General features: G+C 42.0%; 2 protein-coding genes and 1 long non-coding RNA gene across 7 annotated transcripts in view, besides 1 other annotated feature; 2 read left to right on the top strand and 1 right to left on the bottom strand.

Moving 5' to 3' along the window:
• Positions 1-4,872, bottom strand: part of SH3RF2 (SH3 domain containing ring finger 2) — a 145,196-nt gene extending 140,324 nt beyond the window's left edge. For 3 of the 5 annotated variants that reach the window (XM_011537568.3, XM_017009136.2, NM_152550.4), the window contains exons 1-2: positions 4,756-4,872; positions 3,144-3,627 (exon numbers count right to left, since the gene is read on the bottom strand). In XM_011537568.3, the coding sequence (XP_011535870.1) occupies positions 3,144-3,521 (378 nt within the window). In that variant the 5' untranslated portion in view covers positions 3,522-3,627; positions 4,756-4,872. Of the gene's footprint in view, positions 1-3,143; positions 3,631-4,755 lie in introns of all 5 variants that reach the window. The other 2 variants (XM_006714757.2, XM_011537567.3) reach the window with 1 other exon arrangement.
• The window catches only part of LOC107986458 (uncharacterized), a 131,758-nt gene extending 126,009 nt beyond the window's left edge, over positions 1-5,749 (top strand). Inside the window, exon 4 of the long non-coding RNA XR_001742913.2 lies at positions 5,687-5,749. This is a non-coding gene — a long non-coding RNA (uncharacterized LOC107986458). The remainder of the gene's footprint in view (positions 1-5,686) is intronic.
• Positions 4,557-5,134: an enhancer, noted in NCBI's record as "OCT4-NANOG-H3K27ac hESC enhancer chr5:145315879-145316456 (GRCh37/hg19 assembly coordinates)". NCBI's record gives its function as "activates a minimal SCP1, AML or CMV promoter by ChIP-STARR-seq in naive and primed H9 embryonic stem cells {active_cell/tissue: H9 hESC(naive and primed)}" and the evidence as "EXISTENCE:reporter gene assay evidence [ECO:0000049][PMID:30033119]".
• Positions 5,750-9,776: 4,027 nt separating the features above from the next.
• The window catches only part of GRXCR2 (glutaredoxin and cysteine rich domain containing 2), a 74,004-nt gene continuing 58,119 nt past the window's right edge, over positions 9,777-25,661 (top strand). Inside the window, exon 1 of the mRNA XM_017009708.2 lies at positions 9,777-9,952. Coding sequence (XP_016865197.1) covers positions 9,905-9,952 — 48 coding nt within the window. The 5' untranslated portion in view covers positions 9,777-9,904. The remainder of the gene's footprint in view (positions 9,953-25,661) is intronic.

Below are 25,661 nucleotides of genomic sequence, written 5' to 3'. Positions count from 1 at the left end.
GCCTGTTGGTTTGAAATAAATGCACACTGCAGAAACCTACAGCTGTTTCTCAAGTTTTCTTTTTACACAATCATCTAGGGAGGGTTTTAGACATGTAGGCACAATAGGCAATTTTTTTCTCTCTATGGGCTGGCACCATGAGGTGTGACTATTGGTTCCACCCTAGAACACTGGTTGGCACAGGAAGCATCAGGCCTCTTTGAGCCAACAAAAAGAGCTTGATGAGCTTGTTTTTTAGATGAGTCTAGGTGAGCAGAACAGACTTTGGGCTTCAAAAGCTCATGGACAGAAAGTTAAACGAACTTTTTCAGGGTGCCAGGTTATCGGCAAGTCCTTTGAAAGAGGTGTTTTACAAAATGGTGCCCTGTGACAACAGGTTATTTATGCTCTCTGAGTGGAGTACTTTATACTTAGTATTATCCTGGCCTGAGCTCATCATAGAATCAAGTTCAATAATAATACCTATTACACTCTCCTGCAAGGGCTGTAACTCCTTCTACATTTTGTAGCATGCCTCATGTGTGGCAGGGCACAATAAACAGTCAATAATAATGTTCACTGTGATAATGATCTTCCAAATGTCTTTCATCTAAGGCTCTCAAAGTGTTTTGGAGATACTAATTAGTTAAACCTCACAGTAGCTGTCTGTTTTTATACATGACATCTTCCCATTTTACAGAATTTTAAATTGAGACCCAGCAAACATAAGTGGCTTGCCCAAAGTCATACAGCATGTCTAAATGAATCTTAATGATGATGCTTTGCATTTACATAGCAGATGTTTTCTAAGGCAGTAAAAGTATGTTGCAAAGATAATTTTCACACTATCCTGGAGGAAGGTGGGTAGCAAGTAGCTTTTGACTAGATTGGCTGAACTGTGGCAGAGAGGGCAAGGAACTCAGGAGGATTTGACCGAGGATGTAAGTCCATTCCTCTGACTCTCTAAACAGACTGTGGCATCCAGACAACCCTCAGTTCTCTTAACTGTGGGATGCATGGTTGCTTTCATGGTTGCAAAAAAGATAGGTAATATTTTTGGGAGCAGAGGCACGTTGCAGAACAGCAGCCATATTGACATCCAGAAATAGGTTTGTTCATATCCCCACTGAGGAAGGCAAAAGGAATGAGAGGAGTCACTTCAAGAAAGGATAGTTAGGACATAAAGGAATTGGGAAGTGGGGGTGCCAGCTCTGCTCTCTTGCAGAGCATCTTTCTAGCCCAGGTCCTGCCTGAACACAGGAGCCCTTGAGTTTCAGCCTCACCACAGGACTTGGTCCAGAGCAGCTTGGAGGGTGGGCACAGACGATAGTCTGATGTTATAAGTCCCTGCAAAAGAATTCCAGAGAGACCCAGTATCTTAATGGCTGTCTCTTATGTACAACCAGCTCTCACCTCAATTCCCTGTGCCAGAAGGGCCCTGAGAATCCTCTATAGTTCAAAAACTTGGTAGCTGTGGATCCATTCATCGCTACCTGTCCTTTGCAACACAGTCACATTGAGAAAGATGTAAACCACAACAAAAATATTCCAAGCTGATAAGGGAACTGCCTCCTCCCAGTGTGACACCGTTTCCTGAGTAAGTGATGATACTCCGCTGAAAGGCAGGTCAGACTTCTGCAAGGTGGGGAAGGGAAGAGGTTGCTAGGTCTTAGGAATTCAAGGGGGATTTGCTGACCCAGAGATAGAGCTCTTTTCTCTACAAACAAGGCATGTTTGAGAACAATTTGCTTCCCCACCCCTACTTCGCCATTTCCAGACCTGTGGATTCTGATTGATGACTAGACCAGGGGTAGTGGAGGGACTTAAAAAGAGTTCCAAACCCTTTTCTGGAATGTGTCACTTACAAGCACAATGGCAATAAAAAGCCTACAGTGAAGAAATCAAGGGTGTACAGTGAAAAAATGTCCTGCTTCTTCCCACCCTCATTGTTGAATGTTTACACATGCGCCATGGGTGGTTTAAAGATGCAGTGAACCCAGGAAGTGGTAGCTCTTAGAAGGAAAATTTCGGAAAGTTGTTCCAAATGCGTATCACAAGCCACTCCTCACTCCTGAGTAAGGAAGCAGTCCTGCAAGACCCTCCCACACGTTATTCCTCTTCAGAGCAGGGAGATGTGGGACACTGCTGCCAGCATTTAGACTCTAATGCTTGCTCTAGGTAAGACTTCAAGGAATGTAGCTTTGATTTTCTAAGTATGCCAATGGCCCAAGCCACAGCTTTCCGTGTCCACTTTTTTACACTGACTCCAGGGGTGACAGTGCAAATAATTCTGCTGGACTCACAAGGACCATGTCCTTCTTTCCAGATGTGCCCTTACACATTATCCCACAACAAGGTTCATAGCCAGGTCAGATAAAGTCCTCGGGGTGTGCTTTCAGCGCTGGACAGAGCGATTCCCATTATCCAAACATGAAAAGCATTAATCTCCTGTGAGGCGTAACTGGGTCTGTTTGGTTTTTTAATTGCAGCCCCTGCTGTGTATCTTCTCTGTATTTCATTCATTTTGCAAAATGAGACACATCTGCAGAGCTCCTATACACAGCTGAAGCACTTCACAGCCCAGCCTTTGCTATCAATCAGTCCACCCACATAGATGCTTCCCTCCTGCACTATCTCCCGCGTCAAGTATCTTGATAGCTTGGAACAGATTATGAATGAGTATTGCCATAATAGCACTTTATGACTAGGGGTGGGAAGATGGATTTGGGTAAAATTCAAACAAAACCTGACATTTGGAAATTTCTGAGAGATCTCAAAAGCAACAAGCAGTTGGATTTGTTTTCTCTCTTTTGTTTCTCCCCACCCTCCGTGCATTTCCCAGGCACTAGTTTGGCCTCAGAACAGCAGAAGTGAAACACCAAAAATATAATCTAAAAGGCTTTCCTTGTTCTACTACTTTCTGGACTAGAGGAAAGGAGAACCTAGGAAGCTTTAATAGTTCTAAAGAGAATTCTTAGATGGATTAGATAGGCTCAGGTTTTCATTGTATTTGAGTAAAATGATCACTGCCCACAGAAACTTATCACTGGGAAATCAACAGCAGCACTCTGGAATGTAACTAAAAGAAGATAATCTCTAGCTCCTTGTATACACAAATCCAACCTCTATGTGGACATGATATTAGCAAATAAGATCTCTCTTACCCCATCCATGTGGATTCTGACATTAGGCACTAGCCGGAAAGGACTGGCCTGCAGACGTCTGGGGTTGGTCCTGCTTTTCCTGCCATCCTGCAAGGTCATCGTGCCAGGCCTGCGGAAGGAGCCCCCTCTCCCGGAGCTCTGCCCTGAGCGCACTCCATCCAGAAGGCGCACGAGCAGCAGGTTGGCCGGCAGCGCCTCAATGTTGGAAAACACAGGCGTCCTGCATTCGGGGCACCGCAGCTCTTTGTGGGCCTTGAAAACCCTCTGTAGACATGGTTTGCAGAAGGTGTGCTGGCAAGGGAGGACTTTGGCTGTGACATCGAGCTTCTCAAAGCACACAGGGCACTCCAGAAGATCAAGTAACGTCAAATCATCCATTTTATTTCAAAACTCCAGTTCCCACCTGGAGGAGCAGCGTCCACATGGTAGGGTCAGTTGAGCCACGGGGGCAGAGCTGGTCTCTTGAGAACGTCAGAATTTTTGCCTGCTTGAAGGAGGGAGAGGAGAGAAAAAAAAATGTGACTGCTCCGAGAGGTATATCCCACCTACATTGAGGCAGTGTCTCATAAGGCAGTTTGCAAGTACTTTGTTCCGGCACCCAAGTTTCAAATGACTCATTCTGATTCAATGCTAGCAGGTATAAGACTCAACTCGTGCTTGCTGTGAGGATCAGAGGGAACATTCAGCACAAGACTGACTGCTTATTGCCTATGTGGACAGGAAAGCAGGGAGATAAACTGGCCTGCTGAAGTGGCCCCCCAACCCCTCTCTACCAGCCAGGGCGGGAAGAGGTCCTTTACCCCCTGCCCGGGGAAAGCTCCTGGACAGTCTCAATTCTTACAACAAAGCCCCCTCCGAACGCAATTTCTGTGAAGCTATCTCCTCCTCCTCCTTCCCCTAAATCTAAATGTATCTATTATCTGCACCACATGCAGATTAGTTTAGGTGGGTAAGTTTATCTGAATCTCATGCAGATGTAGAATTATTTCCTTCACAATATACCTTCCCACATGATTCTAGCAATGTACAAGAAAAATTTCCACTAGAAACCCATTTCCAAAAATTGTTTTGCCTTAACCACAGGTCAGGGTGCTTGGAAGCTTTGTTTCTTTTCTTTTTTCATCTTTTTTTTTTTTTCTCTCCTCATCCCGATTACCTTAGGCTCAGAGACAATGTTCCTCCCACAAGGTAAAGTAGTGCAGCCTGTTTAGTTACTTTGACATTGTTCTCAATTTCAAATGAAGCAGATAGGAATTCTGGATTGTGGTCACGACCTGTAAAAACCGTACTGGGGCAGCATATACAGGTAGGGGTCGTGTGTGTGTGTACTCTGAAAACAGTACTTGTTCCAGAAACAAGTTTCCTTTTGGATGTATGAAAAGAAGCCTCCAGTTTAGAAAAGTCTGGAAGAAGTCAGCTGTCCCTCACAAGTGCCAGGGCTTCGGTAAGCACCGAGCCCAGAGGTTTGGCGAGAAGGCCAGTGGCCCCACTAGCGACTAGTAAGCAGGACAGACACGACCGAGAATGAGCGATGGCGCCTCGCCTTCCTAAGCCTCCTCTCCAAAGATGTCAGCGCGGCAGCGGGCTGGGGAGGCGTGTGGGGGCCACTAACCTTGTGCATGTAACTTCTGCTGAGTTCAGCTCAGCCCCCTCCTCCGCGCAGCAGGGGTGCGCTGCGCCCTCCAACCGGCTTCCTTTCCTCCAAGCGCCGCTGCTGCCAACCGCTTTGAAAACTTTAACCACTCAGTCTTACTCATTTCAAGGGATCGCCTTACCCAGCCCTGTTAACGCTTTCACTGCCAGGGCGCTGCCTACTTACCACGCTTTTGTTGTTGCAGTTGTTAACTTTATGATCTTTCCTTCAGTTTACTGAATTGCTTCTGGGAAAAGATTGTAAGAGGTAAAATATAAGCCAGTCCCTAAGGCCAAGTATTTACAAAGTTCATATTTTCACCTTTCCCGTTTTCTGTAGTATCCAAGGAGTCAGAACCTGCTCCATTATAAACATACCAAAGTGATTGTGTTTATTTTAAATCTTCATAAGGATTTCCTGGGAAGGTCAAAAGTAAAAATGGTCAAGCTATGAAAACAAGGATAAGTCGGACACCTAGAAAATATTGCTCTTTGAAAATCATAGTCAATCTCTGAATTTAGAGATAAGAGGGACTTTAGTGATCTTTTTGCTCAATCTGTTTAAATTAAAAAACTAGTGTCACGTATATACACATACGTGAAAAATCAAAGCACAGAGAAGCTTTTTCAAAAAAGGAAAAGCAGTGGCCTCCAAGCTCTCCTCCTGCCTGTTATCCACTGTAGTCTTTTCATATCCTCAGATTATGCCTATATTTCTATTTTTTGATTTATCGATAATACATTTCATGTAAAATTACAAAGGTATCCGATTAAGTGAATAATAACAATCTTAATGCCAGGGTAGTCCTTATCTGTGTCAACCACTGTTCTAAATACCTTACCTGTGTTAGCCCTTTAACCCCTTAACAACCCAAGGAGACACTAAACTATTCTTTACTTTCATCTTGCAGATGAGGGAACTTGAGACACAGAGAGGATAAATAACTCATCTCGGGAGTCACAGCTAGCAGAAGGCAAGTGGGCTGTGCTCTTAACAATGTCATGGAGTGATATAACTTTAAGAGGCTGGCCAGGCGCAGTGGCTCATGCCTGTAATCCCAACACTTTGGGAGGCCGACGTGGGCAGATCACAAGGTCAGGAGATCAAGACCATCCTGACCAACATGGTGAAACCTCATTTCTACTAAAAATACAAAAATTAGCTGGGCATGGTGGTGCGCACCTGAAGTCCCAGCTACTCAGGAGGCTGAGGCAGGAGAATCGCTTGAACCTGGGAGGCGGAGGCTGGAGTGAGCTGAGATCGTGCCACTGCACTCCAGCCAGGGCGACAAAAAAAAAAAAAAAAAAAAAGAGGTGAAGAGGTGGTTCAAGGGAGCTAAGCCTCCCCTAAGAGGGCAAGAGGTCAAAAGATAATGGACAAAACTGGCTACTCACTTTCTCTTACAGATGAGGCAGCTGTGCCCAGAAAGATCAAGGGATTCTTTGAAGTTGTCCAGTGAGTTAGGGGCAGAATTGGGACTAGAAACTAGGTGTTTGAGGCCAGGCGCGGTGACTCATGCCTGTAATCCCAGCACTTTGGAAGGCTGAGGTGTGGGTGGATTGCTTGAGGTCAGGAGTTTGAGACCAGCCTGGCCAACATGGTGAAGCCCGATCTCTACTAAAAATGCAAAAATTAGCTGGGTGTGTTGGCTGGGAGTGCTTGGGAGGCTGAAGCACAAGAATCACTTGAACCTGGGAGGTGGAGGCTGCAGTGAGCTGAGATTGTGCCATTGCACTCCAGCCTGGGCGACTAAGACTCCGTCTCAAAAAAAAAAAAAAAAAAAAAGAGAAAGAAACTGGGTGTTCTTTTTAAAATTATTGTTATTACTATATCTTCTCTCTAGACGTAAGGATGACAATTATTTATTATGCAGAGAGTGTTCAGACACAGCTCAATGGGAAAATCTTAAGAGGAGACCAGGAGGTCTGAAAACATTGTTTACATATTTTTCCACGTTCTTTCATGTTAGTTCCAAAACATCAAACATGCATGTGGCCCAGAACTTTAGGATGGAGCCGATGGTTATCTATTTTCTGAGCACGGAGGCCTAATTTTGATGTAGGACAATTTCAGAGACCACTTTCAACTATTACTTTTTTAACGTCACTTTTGAGCTTTGATAACATCACATCCCATTCTGCTTGCCTGTCTCCTTCTATTAATTTCTACTCTTGAGTCTGTGCCACTAAGGAAGCTCTTGAGGTTTACTGTCCTCTTACTCTGTTTCCCACTTAGTAAAGCTGAGTCAGTTTCCTTTGTGCCCTGCAGTGGTCTCACTCCGTAAAAAGGGCCACTCCTATGCTGGAACTCCTGTTGCAGAGATTGGCGATATTTTTCATTATTCTTTCTCTTGTTCTTAAACACACTCTATCTCCCTTACATACTCATATCTGCACCTATATGCAGATGCATGCATACACTTGTGTAAGGGTGCACACATACATAATCTTAATAATAGTAACACCTATGGAGCACTTGCTGTATGCCACTGACCAATGCTAAGATTTTAAACATATTATCTCATTGAATTCTCCCAACCACCCCGTAAGATACTGTAACTTTCCCAGGGTTACAAACCTTGTGATCTGAACTCAGGTTGGTCTAATCCCGGGGCCTGTGTTTCTTTTCATTTTATAAAATCATGTACATATCATAAGTACACCCATGTATCTTTACTATTTAAATCTGCACATGGTTACACATATACCCATATTGTACACACCAGCTGATCTCAGAGCCAACCCAAGACAAAATATTGATGTCAGAAAAGGAGATTGGGCCCCTCTGGGTTGTAGTCTACCCATCTCATGGCCCCTCCACACCCCTGTATGGTCAATGGTCTTAAAAGCTTCAAACCTTCCCATCCCTGAGAAAATGCAGTCAAACCAGCTCAGTCCCAGGAAGGCAGACTAGATCCAGTGGGTTACTCTTGTAGCAAATCTGGCAATTGAAAATCCAGCCAAGTAGAATCGTGATGGTAGAATTTTAGGTTCTAATGGAGGACAGAGAAAAGGTACACTGAAGCGAGGGGTCATCTTTCAGCACCTCTCAAACGACGCCCTGTAGGTGGTCCCCAACACCACCCACATGAGGTTAGTCTTGAAGAGAAAATTTCTTGAAACTTTTAAAGAAGGGCGAGAGTTTTAAATGGGGATTTGTTCTGGCTTACCCAAATACTACCTTGGCATCAAATCAGATGAACATGTAGTCTTTAAAAACAAACAAAAAGGTGAACTATGCATACCTCTTCAGACTCCAGGCCACCTCCCTTCTCCCGCTGTTCCCACCCCACCAACACTCCTGTTTCTATCTGTATAGTTATGGGGTGATGATTGGCTGCATTCTTTTAAAAAATCTGTATGATATGTCTGACCTTCTGCTGTGCATATTTATGAGTACATTTAGATTTATGTATATAAAACACACAAACAAGCAAACCTGGTCTTATTGTTTCCCTAGTCAAAACTCTTCAGTAGGTTTCCATAACCTTAGGATAACATCAAATCCTTCTTCCGCGCTGTCAGGCCCTGCGTGATCTGGCTCATGCCCACCTCTCCTGCTTCAACTTATACCCCCATCACCCCCTCACTCAGCACACTCTTGACCCACTGGGTTTCTCTTCACTCTTAGGATAGCGTTTTTGTCATCAAGTATTTGTTCATGCTCTTCTTTCTGTCTTCAACACACCCTCTTCCCCTTCCTCTCTTCCTAGTTACTCTCTTCCTCCCTGCTTTGCTTTTTTAATGCCCTTCTCTGCAAATTTGAGCTTTAAAAAATGTCAGTTCCTCCAGGAAGACTTCTTTGATTTTCATGAGTAGAAAGTTTGTCATCCTACACTTCTCCTTTATAACAGCTATCACAGCTGTAACTCAGTAATTATTTTATAATGATTTATTTAATGCCCAACTCCCGCAAATAGACTGTAAACTCCAAGAGAGGAAGGACCTTATGTGTCTTGTTGCTCTTCTGTTCCCCTGTATCTAACACAGTGGCTGGCATGTGGTTGATACTCAATAAATGTTGAATGGGTTTATTGATGACTACATGAATGAATGATGTTTTTAAAAATTTGTGTTTGAGCAGGTGTACCCCAAATGGTTGATAATGGTTTTATATTAGACACCTCTTGAGTGTCACTTTGAATGTTCTCAACCACACCTCTTATTTAAGCTAAGAAGTTTTCCCAGATTCAGGCCACATGCAGAGATTCTACTTGGCAGTGTCTATCCTCAAGATCTAGCCACATACTTCTTGCCTACTGCCTTGGAGCTTCTCTGATGTTGCAGCATGGGACACACATGAGAACTTGCTTCACACACACATGTACATGATCCAGAAGTGTGGACCGTCTTTGACTAATGGAAAGTCTGTGGATACATTTTCCCCTTTTATCCTCTGGGAAGGCAGTCTTGAGATGTCATAAAGTTCTTCAGAAGGTCTTGTGGGATGAGTACCTTTCATCCATAGGGGGCTAACACAATAATGCATCTTTGTGCTAGCTTTCTCTCATTCCGTTTCACTCCTCTATCCTAACTCCTGCTCCCAAATAAATCACTTTCAAGGAAGCAAGCCTTTGTCTCAGGCTAAGACAGTTTCTTTCCAATTAAAAATTAAATCACAAACAAGTGTTTAGGTAAGTTTTGTCAATCAAATTTACTTATTGGAATTATGATTTTAGAGGTGTACTATTTTCATTTGACTGGCTCTTAGCCACTTGGTCGCAGGCTCTCTGCCATAAAGTTACTCATTTGTAAGGCACTCCTTAAATCCATCAAAGGAGTTGAGGTATTTGGAAATCTAAAGTTTTAGAGCTGCAGGGTCATGAAACCTCTCTTGACCATCACTGGACCCTTGTTGCTGAAGGCCATGTTTTGTACATCTTTGCTCTCTTCGATTAGTACCTAGTATAAATCTAGATATGTTTTAAATATTTAAATAGACCTATGTTATCTGTTTCTGTGATGTTGACCTTGCTCATATGATTTGATTTTTCTAGTGATACTGAGAAACCTTTGGGACAATTCAAGAGGAGGAATGACTGGAGGACAACAGCAGAAATGTGAAGAAAATCAGACTGACAGGGTTGAGTGGCTATTAACACTCTTTCTTTAAAGGATACAGACCCAGGATGAAGTCAGATGTGAGATTTCCTCTCCAATTGAGGGTATGTTTGCAGGTGAGGAGTGTACTTTAAAATATTCTCATGCAATCACCAGGCCCACAGTAAAGTGACCCAGACTGCTGGCCAGGACAAAGAGGCATTATACATTTTCTGGAGGTGACTTATTGTTCTTAAATTTAATAGGAAACAGTTGGAACCAGCAGTCAAGAGCATGGTTTTGGGCCAGGTGCAGTGGCTCATGCCTGTAATTCCAGCGCTTTGGGAGGCTAAGGCAGGCGGATGGCTTGAGTTCAGGGGTTCAAGACCAGCCTGGGCAACATGGCAAAATCCTGTCTCTACAAAAAATACAAAAATTAACTGAGTATGGTGGCACATGCCTATAGTCCCAGCTACTAGGGAGGCTGAGGTGGGAGGATCACTTGAGCCCAGGAGGTTGAGGCTGCAGTGAACTGAGATCGCACCACTGCACTCCAGCCTGGGTGACAAAGTGAGACCCTGTCTAAAACAAAACAAAACAAACAGACAAAAAGCCCTATGGTTTTGGAGTCTAACAGACCCGGTTTGAATCTCAGCTCTGCCAGTTGCTAGATAGACAGATAGATCACTTAGGCGAATTACTCTCTTCCTCTGTTCCTTGGATTCCTCATGGATAAAGTGAGGATGCTAGTAGCACCTACTTCATTGAGATGTTCTGAAGAGTCAGTTGAGATGATGTATATAATAGTGCTTAATAGATGTAGGCTTCTTATCTTCTTTCTTCTTTTTCTGTAAGTAGATCTCATAAAAGAACCAGATGCCAGATGGTTCTCATTCTAACGCAGACTAATCCAAAGAAAAACATGCTAGGCCATGTGATTGCTCAGTTCTTTATTGATCAAAATGCTCTTACACAATGTATCCCTAACCTCCATCATTTGCATTTTATCTTTATGCCTTTTGCCATAATCATGTACTTTTTTAAAATGTCGAATCAGTTTTTAATTGAAATAATTTATTTTAAAGGGAAATTTAAAAAATACTACTATAAATGGGAAACCAGTTTCATTTGCTGCAATTTGAAGGTGAAAGTAAAGGCACATTTGAATAAAATAATAAAATATCACTGAATCCCAGTTAAATGCTATTGCCTGCCTAGATCTGAACTTGAGACCTGAGCAATTTGTGTTAAAAAGAGAGTAGTGGCTCATGCTTATAATCCTAGCACTTTGGGAGGCCGAGGTGGGCGAATCACTTGAGGCCGGGAGTTTGAGACCAGCCTGGGCAACGTGGCAAAACCTCATCTCTACTAAAAATACAAAGATTAGCTGGGTGTGGTGGCACATGCCTGTAATCCCAGCTACTTGGGAGGCTGAGGCAGGAGAATCAGTTGAATCTGGGAGGCAGAGGCTGCAGTGAGCTGAGATTGCACCACTGCACTCCAGCCTGGGTGACAAAGCAAGACTCTGTCTCAAAAAAAATTGTTTTTAAATAATAAATAAATAAATAAATAAAGACTAGCCCAAAACTGAGGCTTTCTCCTTGGTGTTATCAGAAAAGTGAAGGAAAAATGAAAAGAGAATAACTTTCTCCTGGTGTGATTCAGTGTTATTCCTTTTGGGTTAGGGTACCCCAGGCTATAGGAGACTCTGATCTAGTGTATCATAAAGAAACGGAAGTGATTGTGAAGAACCAAAAGACAGAAATCTCCCCATTTCTGTGCCATAAATGGGGATTTACCCACTCTACATCTGGTGAGAGATTCTTAAGTGCATTTCTTCCTCTTGATTGTCAATAAAAAAGAATAGTCTACCAAGCATGTTTGTATTCTTTCCTCTACAGATTAGAAGGAAGTTCTAAAGGCAGATTTGTGAGAGGAGAAAGTAGGAAAGTAAGAATGCATCTTTCCATTCTATTATTACTAGAAAATAATTCTGCTGGTAAAATCCAAGTAATTGGTAAAATCCAAGTAATTGGTAAAACTGTAACTGTATTCTAGTTAATTGTATTGTGCCAAAGCCAGTTTCCTAGTTTTTATAATCTATTATGGTTATATGAAAACTTATGATTGGGGGAAGTTGTGTGACGGGTACAATGGACTTCTCTGTAACATTTTTGCAATGTCTTATGAGTCTGTAATTATTTCAAAATGAAAAGTAAAAAAAAGTTTAAGTCTAAAGTCTTAAAAATATGGTCTCACTTCTCACCTTTTGATCCTAAAATACCACTTCTATAAATTTATGTAACATAACAGATATGTATCCAAGTGTGTTCCTTATAGCATTACTTATAAAAGTGAAAAGTTAAACAGCCTGATGTCCAAAAATAGGGGAGTGGGTAAATAAATGGTGATATATATATATATATATATATATAGGGGGGAATATTATACAACTATTAAAAATGATAAGGAGATGCATATTTAATGATGTGAAGGATCATTCACAATTAATATTGAAACTTAAGTTATATGAGTTCAGGTTATTTAAAAATGATACACACATATACATATATATAATATAAAGACTAGGAGAATGCATGCCAAAATGTTAGCAATGGTTATTTCTAGCCACTGGGCTTATTAGTTGATTTTTATTTTTAAAAATTTTGCTCATGTATGTTTGTAATTGTTCTATAATGAATGTATATTCTAGTGTAATACTTTTTTTTTATTATACTTTAAGTTTTAGGGTACATGTGCACAACATGTGCAGGTTAGTTATATATGTATACATGTGCCATGTTGGTGTGCTGCACCCATTAACTTGTCATTTAACACTAGGTATATCTCCTAATGCTATCCTTCCCCCCTCCCCCCACCCCACAACAGGCCCTGGTGTGTGATGTTCCCCTTCCTGTGTCCATGTGTTCTCATTGTTCAATTCCCACCTATGAGTGAGAACATGTGGTGTTTGGTTTTTTGTCCTTGCGATAGTTTGCTAAGAATGATGGTTTCCAGCTTCATCCGTGTCCTACAAAGGACATGAACTCATCATTGTTTATGGCTGCATAGTATTCCACAGTGTATATGTGCCACATTTTCTTAATCCAGTCTATCATTTTTGGACATTTGACTTGGTTCCAAGTCTTTGCTATTGTGAATAGTGCCGCAATAAACATACGTGTGCATGTGTCTTTATAGCAGCATGATTTATAATCCTTTGGGTATATACCCAGTAATGGGATTGCTGGGTCAAATGGTATTTCTAGTTCTAGATCCCTGAGGAATCGCCACACTGACTTCCACAGTGGTTGAACTAGTTTACAGTCTCACCAACAGTGTAAAAGTGTTCCTATTTGTCCACATCCTCTCCAGCACCTGTTGTTTCCTGACTTTTTAATGATTGCCATTCTAACTGGTGTGAGATGGTATCTCATTGTGGTTTTGATTTGCATTTCTCTGATGGCCAGTGATGATGAGCATTTTTTCATGTGTCTGTTGGCTGCATAAATGTCTTCTTTTGAGAAGTGTCTGTTCATATCCTTTGCCCACTTTTTGATGGGGTTGTTTGTTTTTTTCTTGTAAATTTGTTTGAGTTCATTGTAGATTCTGGATATTAGCCCTTTGTCAGATGAGTAGATTGCAAAAATTTTCTCCCATTCTGTAGGTTGCCTGTTTACTCTGATGGTAGTTTCTTTTGCTGTGCAGAAGCTCTTTAGTTTAGTTAGATCCCATTTGTCAATTTTGGCTTTTGTTGCCATTGCTTTTGGTGTTTTAGACATGAAGTGCTTCCCCATGCCTATGTCCTGAATGTTATTGCCTAGGTTTTCTTCTAGGGTGTTTATGGTTTTAGGTCTAACATTTAAGAGGGAATCCTCCCTAACTCATTTTATGAGGCCAGCATCATCCTGATACCAAAGCCTGGCAGAGACACAACAAAAAAAGAGAATTTTAGACCAATATCCCTGATGAACATCAATGCAAAAATCCTCAATAAAATACTGCCAAACCGAATCCAACAGCACATCAAAAAGCTTATCTACCATGATCAAGCGGGCTTCATCCCTGGGATGCAAGGCTGGTTCAACATACGCAAATCAATAAACGTAATCCAGCATATAAACAGAACCAATGACAAAAACCATATGATTATCTCAATAGATGCAGAAAAGGCCTTTGACACAATTCAACAACGCTTCATGCTAAAAACTCTCAATAAATTAGTTATTGATGGGACATATCTCAAAATAATAAGAGCTATTTATGACAAACCCACAGCCAATATCATACTGAATGGGCAAAAACAGGAAGCATTCCCTTTGAAAACTGGCACAAGACAGGGATGCCCTCTCTCACCACTCCTATTCAACATAGTGTTGAAAGTTCTCGCCAGGGCAATTAGGCAGGAGAAGGAAATAAAGGGTATTCAATTAGGAAAAGAGGAAGTCAAATTGTCCCTGTTTGCAGATGACATGATTGTATATGTAGAAAACCCCATCGTCTCAGCTCAAAATCTCCTTAAGCTGATAGGCAACTTCAGCAAAGTCTTGGGATACGAAATCAATGTGCAAAAATCACAAGCATTCTTATACACCAATAACAGACAAACAGAGAGCTAAATCATGAGTGAACTCCCACTCACAATTGCTTCAAAGAGAATAAAATACCTAGGAATCCAACTTACAAGGGATGTGAAGGACCTCTTCAATGAGAACTACAAACCACTGCTCAAGGAAATAAAAGAGGATACAAACAAATGGAAGAATATTCCATGCTCATGGGTAGGAAGAATCAATATTGTGAAAATGGCCATACTGCCCAAGGTAATTTATAGATTCAATGGCATCCCCATCAAGCTACCAATGACTTTCTTCACAGAATTGCTAAAAACTACTTTGAAGTTCATATGGAACCAAAAAAGAGCCTGCATTGCCAAGTCAATCGTAAGCCAAAAGAACAAAGCTGGAGGCATCACACTACCTGACTTCAAACTATACTACAAGGCTACAGTAACCAAAACAGCATGGTACTGGTACCAACACAGAGATATAGACCAATGGAACAGAACAGAGCCCTCAGAAATAATGCCGCATTTCTAAAACCATCTGATCTTTGACAAACCTGACAAAGACAAGAAATGGGGAAACAATTCCCTATTTAATAAATGGTACTGGGAAAACTGGCTAGCCATATGTAGAAAGCTGAAACTGGATCCCTTCCTTACGCCTTATACAAAAATTAATTCAAGATGGATTAAAGTGTAATACATTTTTAAAAGATATTAAAAATGCTTAAATCATTACAGATTTACTAAAACATCTGCAACAGGGGGAGTTAAATCCTATAACCCTAATAGCTTATGCATTACAGTTGATAAGATAGCCATTAAAAAAATAATAAACTTCACAGCTCTGAAACTGCTGTAATTAGACGTTAATCCATGACAGATACTGTGCCTTACTAAAGAAAAGTAAGTGATAAATCATTTCACTCCTAACCTGTCTTTCTCCCTTTCTTTCACTGTTTCCTTTCTGATGAAATCAGTAAATGTTTTGATTCAAAACCAGGAGCAGGATGCAACCTTAATTCTTATTAAACTCAGGGCAAGTCTGTGCAAAAGCTGACAGTTTGCTCAGACAATTGGGTAACCACAATCTTGTTTTTTTTTTGTCACACAAGTGAGAAAGTTGCAAAATTCAGTAATTCCCCAAGTGCTCTGATTAGTGCAAGATGTCTCTTTTTATGAGTAGGCCTTCCAGGATAATGTGAAATACAGGAGAAACAAATTTTTTTCCCTTATTAAAAAAGAATTAGAATGATTTTCTATAACTGACTGTAAATAACATCTGTCAAAGCAATTAGACATTTTTTAGGGTGCCATGTGATGGTGTTAATTATGTATTAGTTATATGATATTCATTATTTACTCACTTGTTCTTATAAATTGTGTCTCTCTTTCACACAATCTACATCCCATGGTGCAGGAACCATGTCTGTGTCATTAATTTGTGTCTGACACAAGTAGGTGCTTAAAAAATATTTGCTGAGTGATGAGGATGACTCATTTGTGTTTGGAATTCTTATTGCATTCCTAGGGAGAAAGCTTGCGACTTGGAATCTGGAGACATGCTTTAGAAACTTAGCTTCACCAGTAACAGCTCTGTGACCCTTTGTGTTCAAAAGCTCTAGGCCCCATCCATAAAAATGCAATCAGTAACAAGTACTTCCCAGGCTTGTCATAAGGAATAAATTTCCTAATACATGTTGGTAAAACAATGTCTGGTCCATAGAAAGTGCTCAAAAGATATAGATATTAATTGACAATATCTGAATTCTTTCTGTTTTAGCTATAGTTTATCTTTTTCTGGCATCATTTCTAACTTATGGTAGTTATGAACATACACTCTGGAGTCAGATGGCTGGTGCCATCTTATTAAATAAGAGTGTGACCTACAGCAAATTACTTAAACATGCTGTGCTTGGTTTTCTCATCTGTGAGACCGGAATGGTAATAATAGCACTTGCTCCATAGGATTATTGTGAGCACACACTGAGAAGATGCTTGTAAATGCTCCAAAGAGTGTGACAGGAGTAAGTGCTCAGTAAAGGTTAGCCATTTTCTCCTTATCAGGCCTCTTATCTATTGTGTTGCATCTAAAGCACAGTTTAAAATTGAGCCCAACTGCTGGCTTCTCTTCCTGAAGCAGTTATTTATTCTGATTTGGCCATTTCATGACTGTCAACTCACAGAATGGCTGCCTGAAGGTTTATGTGGTCTGGGCATTGCTACACCCTGTAAAACTTTTAAGAGGGGGTGGGATTGGCTACTGTGCTAGAATAAATAATAACAATTAACATTGTTTTGTGCAAGATTCTGTGCAAAGAACCATAGCCCTTTAATTACCCCCATCTTACAGATGAGGAAACAGAGGGTGAGAGAGGTTATGTATTATCCCAGCCAGTGCTTGAGGAACTCGGAACTTACACTCAGGCAGGCTGTGCTCTTAATCTTCGTGTCATCCCATTTGCCACATTTATTAAATAAAAACGTCAATACTTTATTGCAACTTTGGTCTTAGACTTTTATTTTTGGTTCCGTTCAGTAGAGTTCAAAACTTGGCAACATACAGAGCCTTCTCAGAGTAACATCAGGTTAATCTCCAAGAAACACAAAGGGAGATAAGCCTGAAACAGAAAGGGAGAGAGCATAGGGGGAATTAGTATTATTATTGAGATAAAATAGTGAGAGAAATGTCAACAAACCAGACATAAACATTTCGATAAAAATCCCTTTGGTTTTCAGTAACAAATGGAGACTTTTGTAATATAACCAGAATTATCTCATTTCGTTTTTATGCTCAATTTATTATGATTAATTAACTGTTCAACTAGGATTCTAAAATAGATTTGCCTTGCTAGATCTAGCTCTGCCATTTGAGATATTGCCTTTGTGGCAATCAACTGTAGGTACACTAGGAGTACAGGAGTGTGGTTGCTGAAGAAGAGGCTCAGATCATGGGCAGTTCATCTCTCCATGCCACTCTCCAAACTCAACCATTCCTTGCCCCCTGCTTGGTACTAAACATGGCTTGTATCCTAACTAACTTCAGCATTTTGGCATTATCTATCAAAATTGTAAGTATCATTCCATTTCACTCAGTAATTCTACATCTAGAAGTTCATTCAAGAGAAACGCTCACAAAGTATGCAAAGGGATATATACAAGGACATTCACTGTTTTGTTGTTTGTAATGGAGAATAAATAGCACTAACTTAAATATCCACCAGGAAGGGATTGGTTATATATACTATAAGGTAATCATACAGAGGAATACCTAGGTAAATTAGTATATATCGATATGGATATAATGGAAAAAAGAAGATGGTAAGCAGTGCTCATAATACTCATAACATTATAGAAGGATTTTGTAAGGATACATACCAGTGATACAGAAACTTAAGTGCATGCAGGGAATCAGATTTTGGCTTAGTGAGTGGGACTGTGACAACCTTGAGAGCATGCCTCATATTAAGCAACTAGCACCACTCAATTTCAGCAAATCATTGCTAACCTGGTGGCAGGTCTTTGGATTTTCCAAGAAAAGCTGGGAGTCAGAGTACTTTTTATGCTGTTTTGTGGCATCTATTTACTTCTCTGTCACTTCCAAAGCTGGGAGCTCCATGAAAGTATTCCAGTCATGTGAAACCGCTTGATTTTCATTTCGAGACAACAAATAAAAATACTTTAGAAATATATTGCATACAGTCATCTGTTAGCTGCATTTTTTCTTGCAGGCTCATTGCTTATCACCCCCTAAAATACTCTTAGCAAGGGCTATCTCTGGAGAATCATATTATAGGCCAATATCAGGGTATGACACTTATTATATGTAAAGTAGACAGTTCTCAAGTGTAGTCCCGGACCACCATATCAGTGTACCTGGAAACCAGTTAGAAGTGCATAGGCCCCATCCAGACTTATTGAATCAGAAACCCTGGAGATGGCACCAGCAATCTGTGTTTCCCCAAGTACTTCAGGTGATTCTGATGCATTCTAAAATTTGAGATTGAGTGGGGCTTATGCATTTTCAACTAGTTTCCGGGTGGCACTGATGTGGTGATCCAGGGCCACCTTTTGAGAACTGTCTATTTTATACATTGCTTTATGTTTGAAGGACCTGCAATGCTTGCACCGCTTTTATAATTGCAAACCCCACTGGTACATGGGACATACTTACACTGGCCTTACATTAGGAAGGTCGTAACTAAAGTGAGTTTCCAGACCATTACAGACTAGGGCTAGTTCTGGGAGTTTGGCCTAGCTTTGGTTTTGTTACCAGTCTTCTGGGCTCAGCTAGACTATGTTTTAGACTAAGGTTTCTGTAGCCTTGAAATGCTTCTGGCTATACTGGACCATATGAGTCCCTGGGTGTAGAAACAGCTTTTTAAGGGTGTTGAGAGAGAAAAATTACATCTCTCATTTCCATGGTATACCTGGAGCCTGTGGGGAAAATAAATACCTAGGTGATAACTATTCATTCTTTGATTCATTCACTCATTCATTCAACAACGATGTTGTGAGTTCTTACTATGTGCCTGGCATTGTGCTAAGCCTGATGACACTGAAATACCTTCAGGGAGCTCCCAGCTTAGGAGGTGACACAGAAGTAAATAGACCATCATGAACCAGTGTTAAAAATAATGTAATGACGGTCAGCACATGGTGCCTTGGAAATCCCCACTGGACATGAGGGAAGACTTTCCTGAAGAGGTGGCACCTGGCTGAGGTTTGAGAGATGAGCAGGAGCAGAAGAGATGAGGAGGAGTCAGCTTGGTAAAGAAAGGGAGGGGATATTCCAGGCTGAGAGCCAAACAGATACAGAGACACAAAGGGTGGGAGGACCCAGGACTTTCTGGGAAATGCCTGTACTCTGCCTAACCTGGGCAGAGGGTGTGTGGCAGGAGTGTCAGGCTTTGGGGCTGGAGTATGGGCAGCCGCATGATCACAAAATGCTTGGCAAAGCAGTCTGGGATGCCTGGGCTCCATCCAAAAAGCAACTGAGAGAGCCAATGGCAAGCTGTAACTTAGGGAGTGACAGAGATTCCCTTTAGATTTGGGGGCTGTTTATATATTTTTGACAACAAATGTTTTCACCCAGAGTTTTTCATTTATCATTTTATGTCTCCTTGAATCTATAAATTAAGATTTAAAAATACCATGCCTTTAAGTGAAAATAAATAGCAACTTATTTAAAAAAATAAAATCTACAAAATGATGGCTGGGAAACTTAATACAAACATGGATTTAAGTTTTGTACTTTCCTTTGCTACTTGGTTTTAGAGATGTTTCATGACATGTCATACACAGCTTGTGGGTTAATTAAGCTATTGATTTGGAAGGTTCCTGGTAAATCCCAAGCCAGTTTCAAGGGTGTGTATGTATTTTGGGTGAGGAGCTGGTTAAAGCCATTCATAACATTATTATAATCCTCATTGAATGTTGCTAGGTCTCCAACTGGCAATGCATCCCATTCCTGGCATCATTACCCACTAAGGGCTTTGCTTCTCCGGAAAGTTGGGTGAATACTCAGTTAATAGGAATTGAATCAACGTGTTCAGTTTGGTAAGAACTTGTCTTCCTTTATCTCACAGGGAGAAAGGGAAAAGTCAGTGGTTTTTCAAGAGGGAAGGAAGGAGGGGAGGGTGGAGCAGACTGGGGTGACTGGTGATGCTGTCAAAGTCCCACAATTGCTGTAGAGGTGGATTTTCAGCCCTGGAGCAGGGTGACCTCATTTGCTGCTACATGTGCATTCACCCTTGGTTTCCTGGCCTTTTTGCCATGAGCACATATATATCTAATGAATGTGTAAGTGTGCCCCAGAGAGGCTGTGAGGTCTTTAAAGACAGACTAAACAGGATTTAAATACTTCCCTGCAACTTACTGAGTGTTGACAGCTTAGAAAAATTGCTTACCTACCTGATATGTGATTTCAGAATGCCTACCTGACATGGGTTTTTGTTGAGAATTAAATGAGATAAGATATTTATGTTTAGTGTCTTAGTCTGTTTGGGATGCTATAACAAATCCCCAACACTGGGTGGCTTATAAACAACAGAAATTTATTGCTCATAGTTCTGGAGGCTGGGAAGTCCAAGATCAGTGGGCTGACAGATTTGGTGTCTGGTGAGGGCCTGCTCTCTGGTTCATAGATGGCATCTTTACCTTGTGTCCTCACATGATGAGAAAGGTGAAGGGTTTTTCTTGGGCCTTTTTTATAAGGTCTCTGCCCTCATGGCCTAATGGCTTCCCAAAGGCCCTGCCTCCTAATAACATCACCTTGGGGGTTAGTATTGCTACATATCAGTTTTAAGGAGACAGAAACATTCAGACCATAGCACATGGTGACTAACCTGTAACTGATGTTCAGCATGTCTTTCCTGACCTGGAACTGAAGCTACCTTTTCTGGTTTCCATAGGAACGATTGTTTGTCACCCCCACCCTCTGTCATGCTTGGTTTTCATCAGTAAGGAAACATGTTTGGGGAAGAGGGAACTTGAGTGGCAGAATGACCTGCATTCCAATCCTGGTATAAGTACTCATTTCAGACCATCACTCAATATTTTTGAGACTCAGGTTCCTTCTCTATAAAATGAAAACAATAATGCCCAATAATTTCCATACCTTCCACAGTCATTGTGAGGATTCAGTGAAGTAAGGCAAGGGTGCTCAAACTTTAGAGAGCATCAGAATCACCTGAAGGTCTGGTTAAGACACAGATTGCTGGGCCCATCCCCACGGTTTCTAGTTCAATCTGGGCAGGGCCTATGCATCTCTAACTAGCTTTCAGGCGATGCTGATGTGGATCCAGGACCACACGTTGAGGACAGTGCCTGGCAACAGTAAACACCAGGCAGATGTGAGTTACTATCACTTTTATATTTTGGAGCAGGAGTAATAGTGTAGACACCCCCACCCGGCTGCAATTCTAATTTTAGGGTCCTTATTTTGACTACATCAATAATTGCTTGATTTTCAATTTTTGTAGCACTACTCTAAACAGTGAGGAGGAGAGACTCAGTGTTCTAGGGGGTTAGGATCCACAAGTCATCGCTGCCGCACATCCAAGTGACCCAAGTACAGGAATCAGGGCCCTGGGTGCCTCGGTTTCAATGTAGTTTTGTCAGCCCAGAACAGACTAAAAAACAAATTTCTGGAACATTCTCCTACCTCACAAGACCCTGTACTATGTGTTGAGGACATGTTTTGGGGAGGTTGGGGCAGAAAACAAGTGACTTCCACAGCCCAGAGTCTTCTTCTCTGTTGTCTTCTTTGGTCCTGCCCTCCCCAGGGGTTTTAAGCATGCAAAGGATGGATCTTCCCCCTGAGGAAATCACAGGCCCTGACCCTTATTTTAGAAGGCGGATGACAAAGATAAGGGGCACGGTGACACCTCTGTCACCTAATGATCAGTCTGAATTACACATCTAAAATTAACAGCTTCTCCTCCTCCCTCCTACCCACCCGCCTACCCAATACTTAAACCCTTCTTTGTCATTGTTTCTCCGAGCAATTGATTCGCGAGAAATACCACCTGGATCTGCAAACCCTTGCAACTCAGGGAGTGGGACTCAGCATTGCACTGGGGTTAAGAATGGAGGGGCTGGGGTCATCTCCTCACTTGTTAGCTTGGAGAATGAGGCTACCATTTTCTTATGTAAATTGAAAGAAGTAAGGCTACTTGCATCACAGCGTTCTTGTGAGGGTTAATTAGATATGCATGCAAGGTCTCCATAAATAACAATTGTGGTTTCTATGGAGGATTTTTAAGAGTTCCTCATTGGGATCCTCTTCTGCATGCCCTCCCAGGGCTGTCACTTTTCCAGAATTATCCAGCAATGTTCGGTTGGTTTTGGGGGTCCAGATTCTCCACTTTCCCTGATTTGTCTATGTGACTTTGGACTGAAGGAGAAAGGAGGAGGATTTGGAGTGGGACCTGGGGGAAGAAATGAGGAGACAGGGACAGTGCAAGCTCTAATGAGGAGTCTGCCCCGACTTGACCGCAAGAACAGATGCTCAGTCCCTGTGAAGCAGAAGCCGTAAACTGGAGGATCTGTTCTCCCCAGGTGATGCGGGAAACTTAGTAGCTCAGAGTCCAAGTGGACAAAATACAATGCAGCATTTGGGGAGGGGCTCACACACAGCACTAGGCATGCACTAAGCACAGAAGGGAACCAAGTCTGTTTGGCTTTTCCAGGGTGTGAGGTCCCAGGCACGAAGGTAGTGTTTTAATGGAGGCCATTGTATCACAGGGATGCCAAGGTAATTCCCATAAGGACTTGTAAATGGGCAGTAAATATTAATGGAGAGCATGAGGGGGCTTGTTCCTGAGCTTCTTCCTCTAGATGGGGGGAAATCCCTAAGTAATGGGGTGGGAGGGACTACAGTTACACAGGTGGGAGCAGGTGAAGTCAGGGACATTCAGGTGACACAGCTGAAGCCTGCTTGCAGCACAGTGCTGGGCATATGGGAAGCACCCAGGAACTGGTCATAATTACCAGCTTTTCCTGGACACTTTGACCTTTCCCCATGCCCACAGGACTGGGCAGTCTCTGCTGTGAGTATCGAAGGTTGTGAGAACTCTCAGTCCTTCCTTCTGTGGAACTACAAAATATTTACTTTTAAGAGGAAAGAGTAACTTACGTCTAAGTTACTAGGGGATAGCAATGATCTTTGGCTGGCTTTGCTGAGCTGTAGACTTGGAGTCAACAGACCCCGTTCACCTCCCAGCTATTTTGCCTTTGAGCTGTGAGACCACAGGCTAATTATTTAGCTTCCTCCTCCGTAAAGTGGGAATGAAATTGCCTGCCCTACTACCAGATCATAAACATGAAAATGTTTTGTAAGTTGTAAAGTTCTGTTAAAGGAGTTAGGGAAAGGGAGTTTGTCATGGCTAATAACGAGGTCTTCTAGGAATACCAGCATTCAACTGAAAAGTGGCAATCACGGGAACTGGCATTCCCTTCTTCTGAAGTAATGAGGACTAATGAGTTCAGCCGGCCGAGCACAGTGGCTCACGCCTATAATCCCACCACTTTGGGAGGCCGAGGTGGGCAGATCACGAGGTCAGGAGATCAAGACCATCCTGGCCAACATGGTGAAGCCCCGTCTCTACTAGAAATACAAAAATTAGCTGTGCATGGTGGTGGGCACCTGTAGTCCCAGCTACTTGGGAGGCTGAGGCAGGAGAATCACTTGAACCCAGGAGGCGGAGGTTGCAGTGAGCCAAGATTGCACTACTGCCCTCCAGCCTGGTGACAAAGTGAGACTCCATCTCAAAACAGAACAAAACAAAACAGAGTTCAGCCATGGAGACAGGTGAGTGGTGGGGAGGTATTTGGGTTATTCCTGGATGTTCACCACCTACTCTTGAGGCTAGTCCATGGCACCTGAACCTAATAATCTCATTAGAAGCTGTCAGTGGGACAATCTTGAGGATGTGACAGGTGCTGCTCCCTGCTCCACACCTCTGGGGTCATTCCTCACTGTCTTCCAGGCTGTGAACTTCTAGATGAAGGTCTGCATTCTCTTCTCCTTGTTGTCCAGCACTGAGCACAGGACCTGGCACTCAGCAGACATTCTGATGGTGTTTACAGAATGATTCAGTGAGTGGGAGGGTGTGTTTTCTTTTTTTGGATCATGGTCCTTGTCTATATTCTGCACACTTACTCTCATTCTCACACCTCTTCTATTTCTGAAATGTCCTTACACTGATCTCCAACTGTGGGGAGACCAGAACATGAAAGTTCATATATTTGGGTCTAAAACACAGGAAAGCCTGAGAAAGAAGAACAAGAATTGCTTTCCTTTCTGAGCCGTGTGTGCCTTTGGAATCCACTTTGGGGAAGAAAGAAGACTTGCAAATTAATCTCGGGGGGCGAGTGGGAGTAACAGGCAAATACTGTGGAGAACGTGTCCATCTTGACATAATGCTGTTTTGTATCTTAAAAGGAGATGTGGATTCTGGAGGTTTCCCACCCTGGAAATAACTGCTTTTCAAAAAAAAAAAAAAAGATGCTTAGGAAATAAATCTGGCAATGGCTCCCATTGTTATTAGGGTTGAAATGCATGATTTGTATGTTTTCTGTATGTGGCTATGATTTTAAGTCAGGGAGCTTCTTGATTTTAAGTTAGTTTCCACGCTTGCTCCTATAACCTCTTAGCTGTGTGACAACAATGACAATGACAAAAAAGGTGATGACAGTGGTCAAGGGCTTGCTCTAGACCACCATTCATGCTTGTTCCCTATCTCACAATGACCCTCTAAGGTTGGTCATAATCTCAATTTTACTTTACAGATTGAGAGACTAAGGTTTTGAGGGTTCAGTGATTTCCTCAAGTTAATATAGGAAGTCACCTTAATTTGAACCTTGTTTGAACCCAGGCCTGATAGCTATGTCTATATCCTTCTTTGCCTCCTTTGAAAAGTATAAGGTTGAATTTATGATGAGATTATATAGATCTGTCTCTGAAGTATTTTCTAGGCAATTCAAATGAAACTCTTCAAAATACAAATTGCCCTCTGTGACAAGGAGGACTTTCCCTTCCCAATGCCTTCCTTCAAGAGCTTTTTCATAGACTCCCCTCAGGGTTCAGCCTGGGGCCTGGTGGAGAAAATGGGGCAACAGAACAATAAAACAAAAGAAAGCAACAGATCCTAATGCCTGTAACTGATCATGAATGAAATAACACTTCCCCAGCCTGGAAAAATGTCAGTTTGATGCTCTTTGTTCTAAAAGCTCTGGTTCCACAGAGCATCAATTTCCCCTAATAATAAGCTTTTTTATTCCTCATCTAATGATGCAGCCTTGTCTTGAGGATTCTTATCATCTTTATTGCTCATCCACGATGACAGACACACGTACAGTCAGTTTGTCACTTCCCTTCTTTTCTTTTTCTTTCTCGTCACACATGATTTCTGCCCCAGCAGAAGCAGGGGCTCTGAGCAGCGCCCCCCGCTTCCTCCACCTCCTCGCCTCCCACACAACCATGCACAGCTCTTTGAATTCTCTGCAGAGCATCATCTGCTTCCCCATGAATAAGCTTGTCTTTCTTTTCTTCCCTCCCCGCATGGTGACTCTGTGTCAGCTGGGTGTGCATGGGTACCCTGCATTGTTGACCAGTTGTGCATTTGAGCTAATATTTACCATGCATTAATTCTGTTCCAGGCCCGTGCTGAAAGCTCTGAATAGGTTATCTCATTTGGTACCCATGAGCTGACTCTTAGAGGTGAACCCACTGTGCAGATGAGAAAAACTGAGGCACAAGGAAATGTCCAAAGACACAC

The sequence above is a fragment of the Homo sapiens genome, chromosome 5 (assembly GCF_000001405.40).
Source record: "Homo sapiens chromosome 5, GRCh38.p14 Primary Assembly".
Taxonomy (NCBI): Eukaryota; Metazoa; Chordata; class Mammalia; order Primates; family Hominidae; genus Homo; species Homo sapiens.
This window is presented reverse-complemented; position numbering and strand designations above follow the sequence as displayed.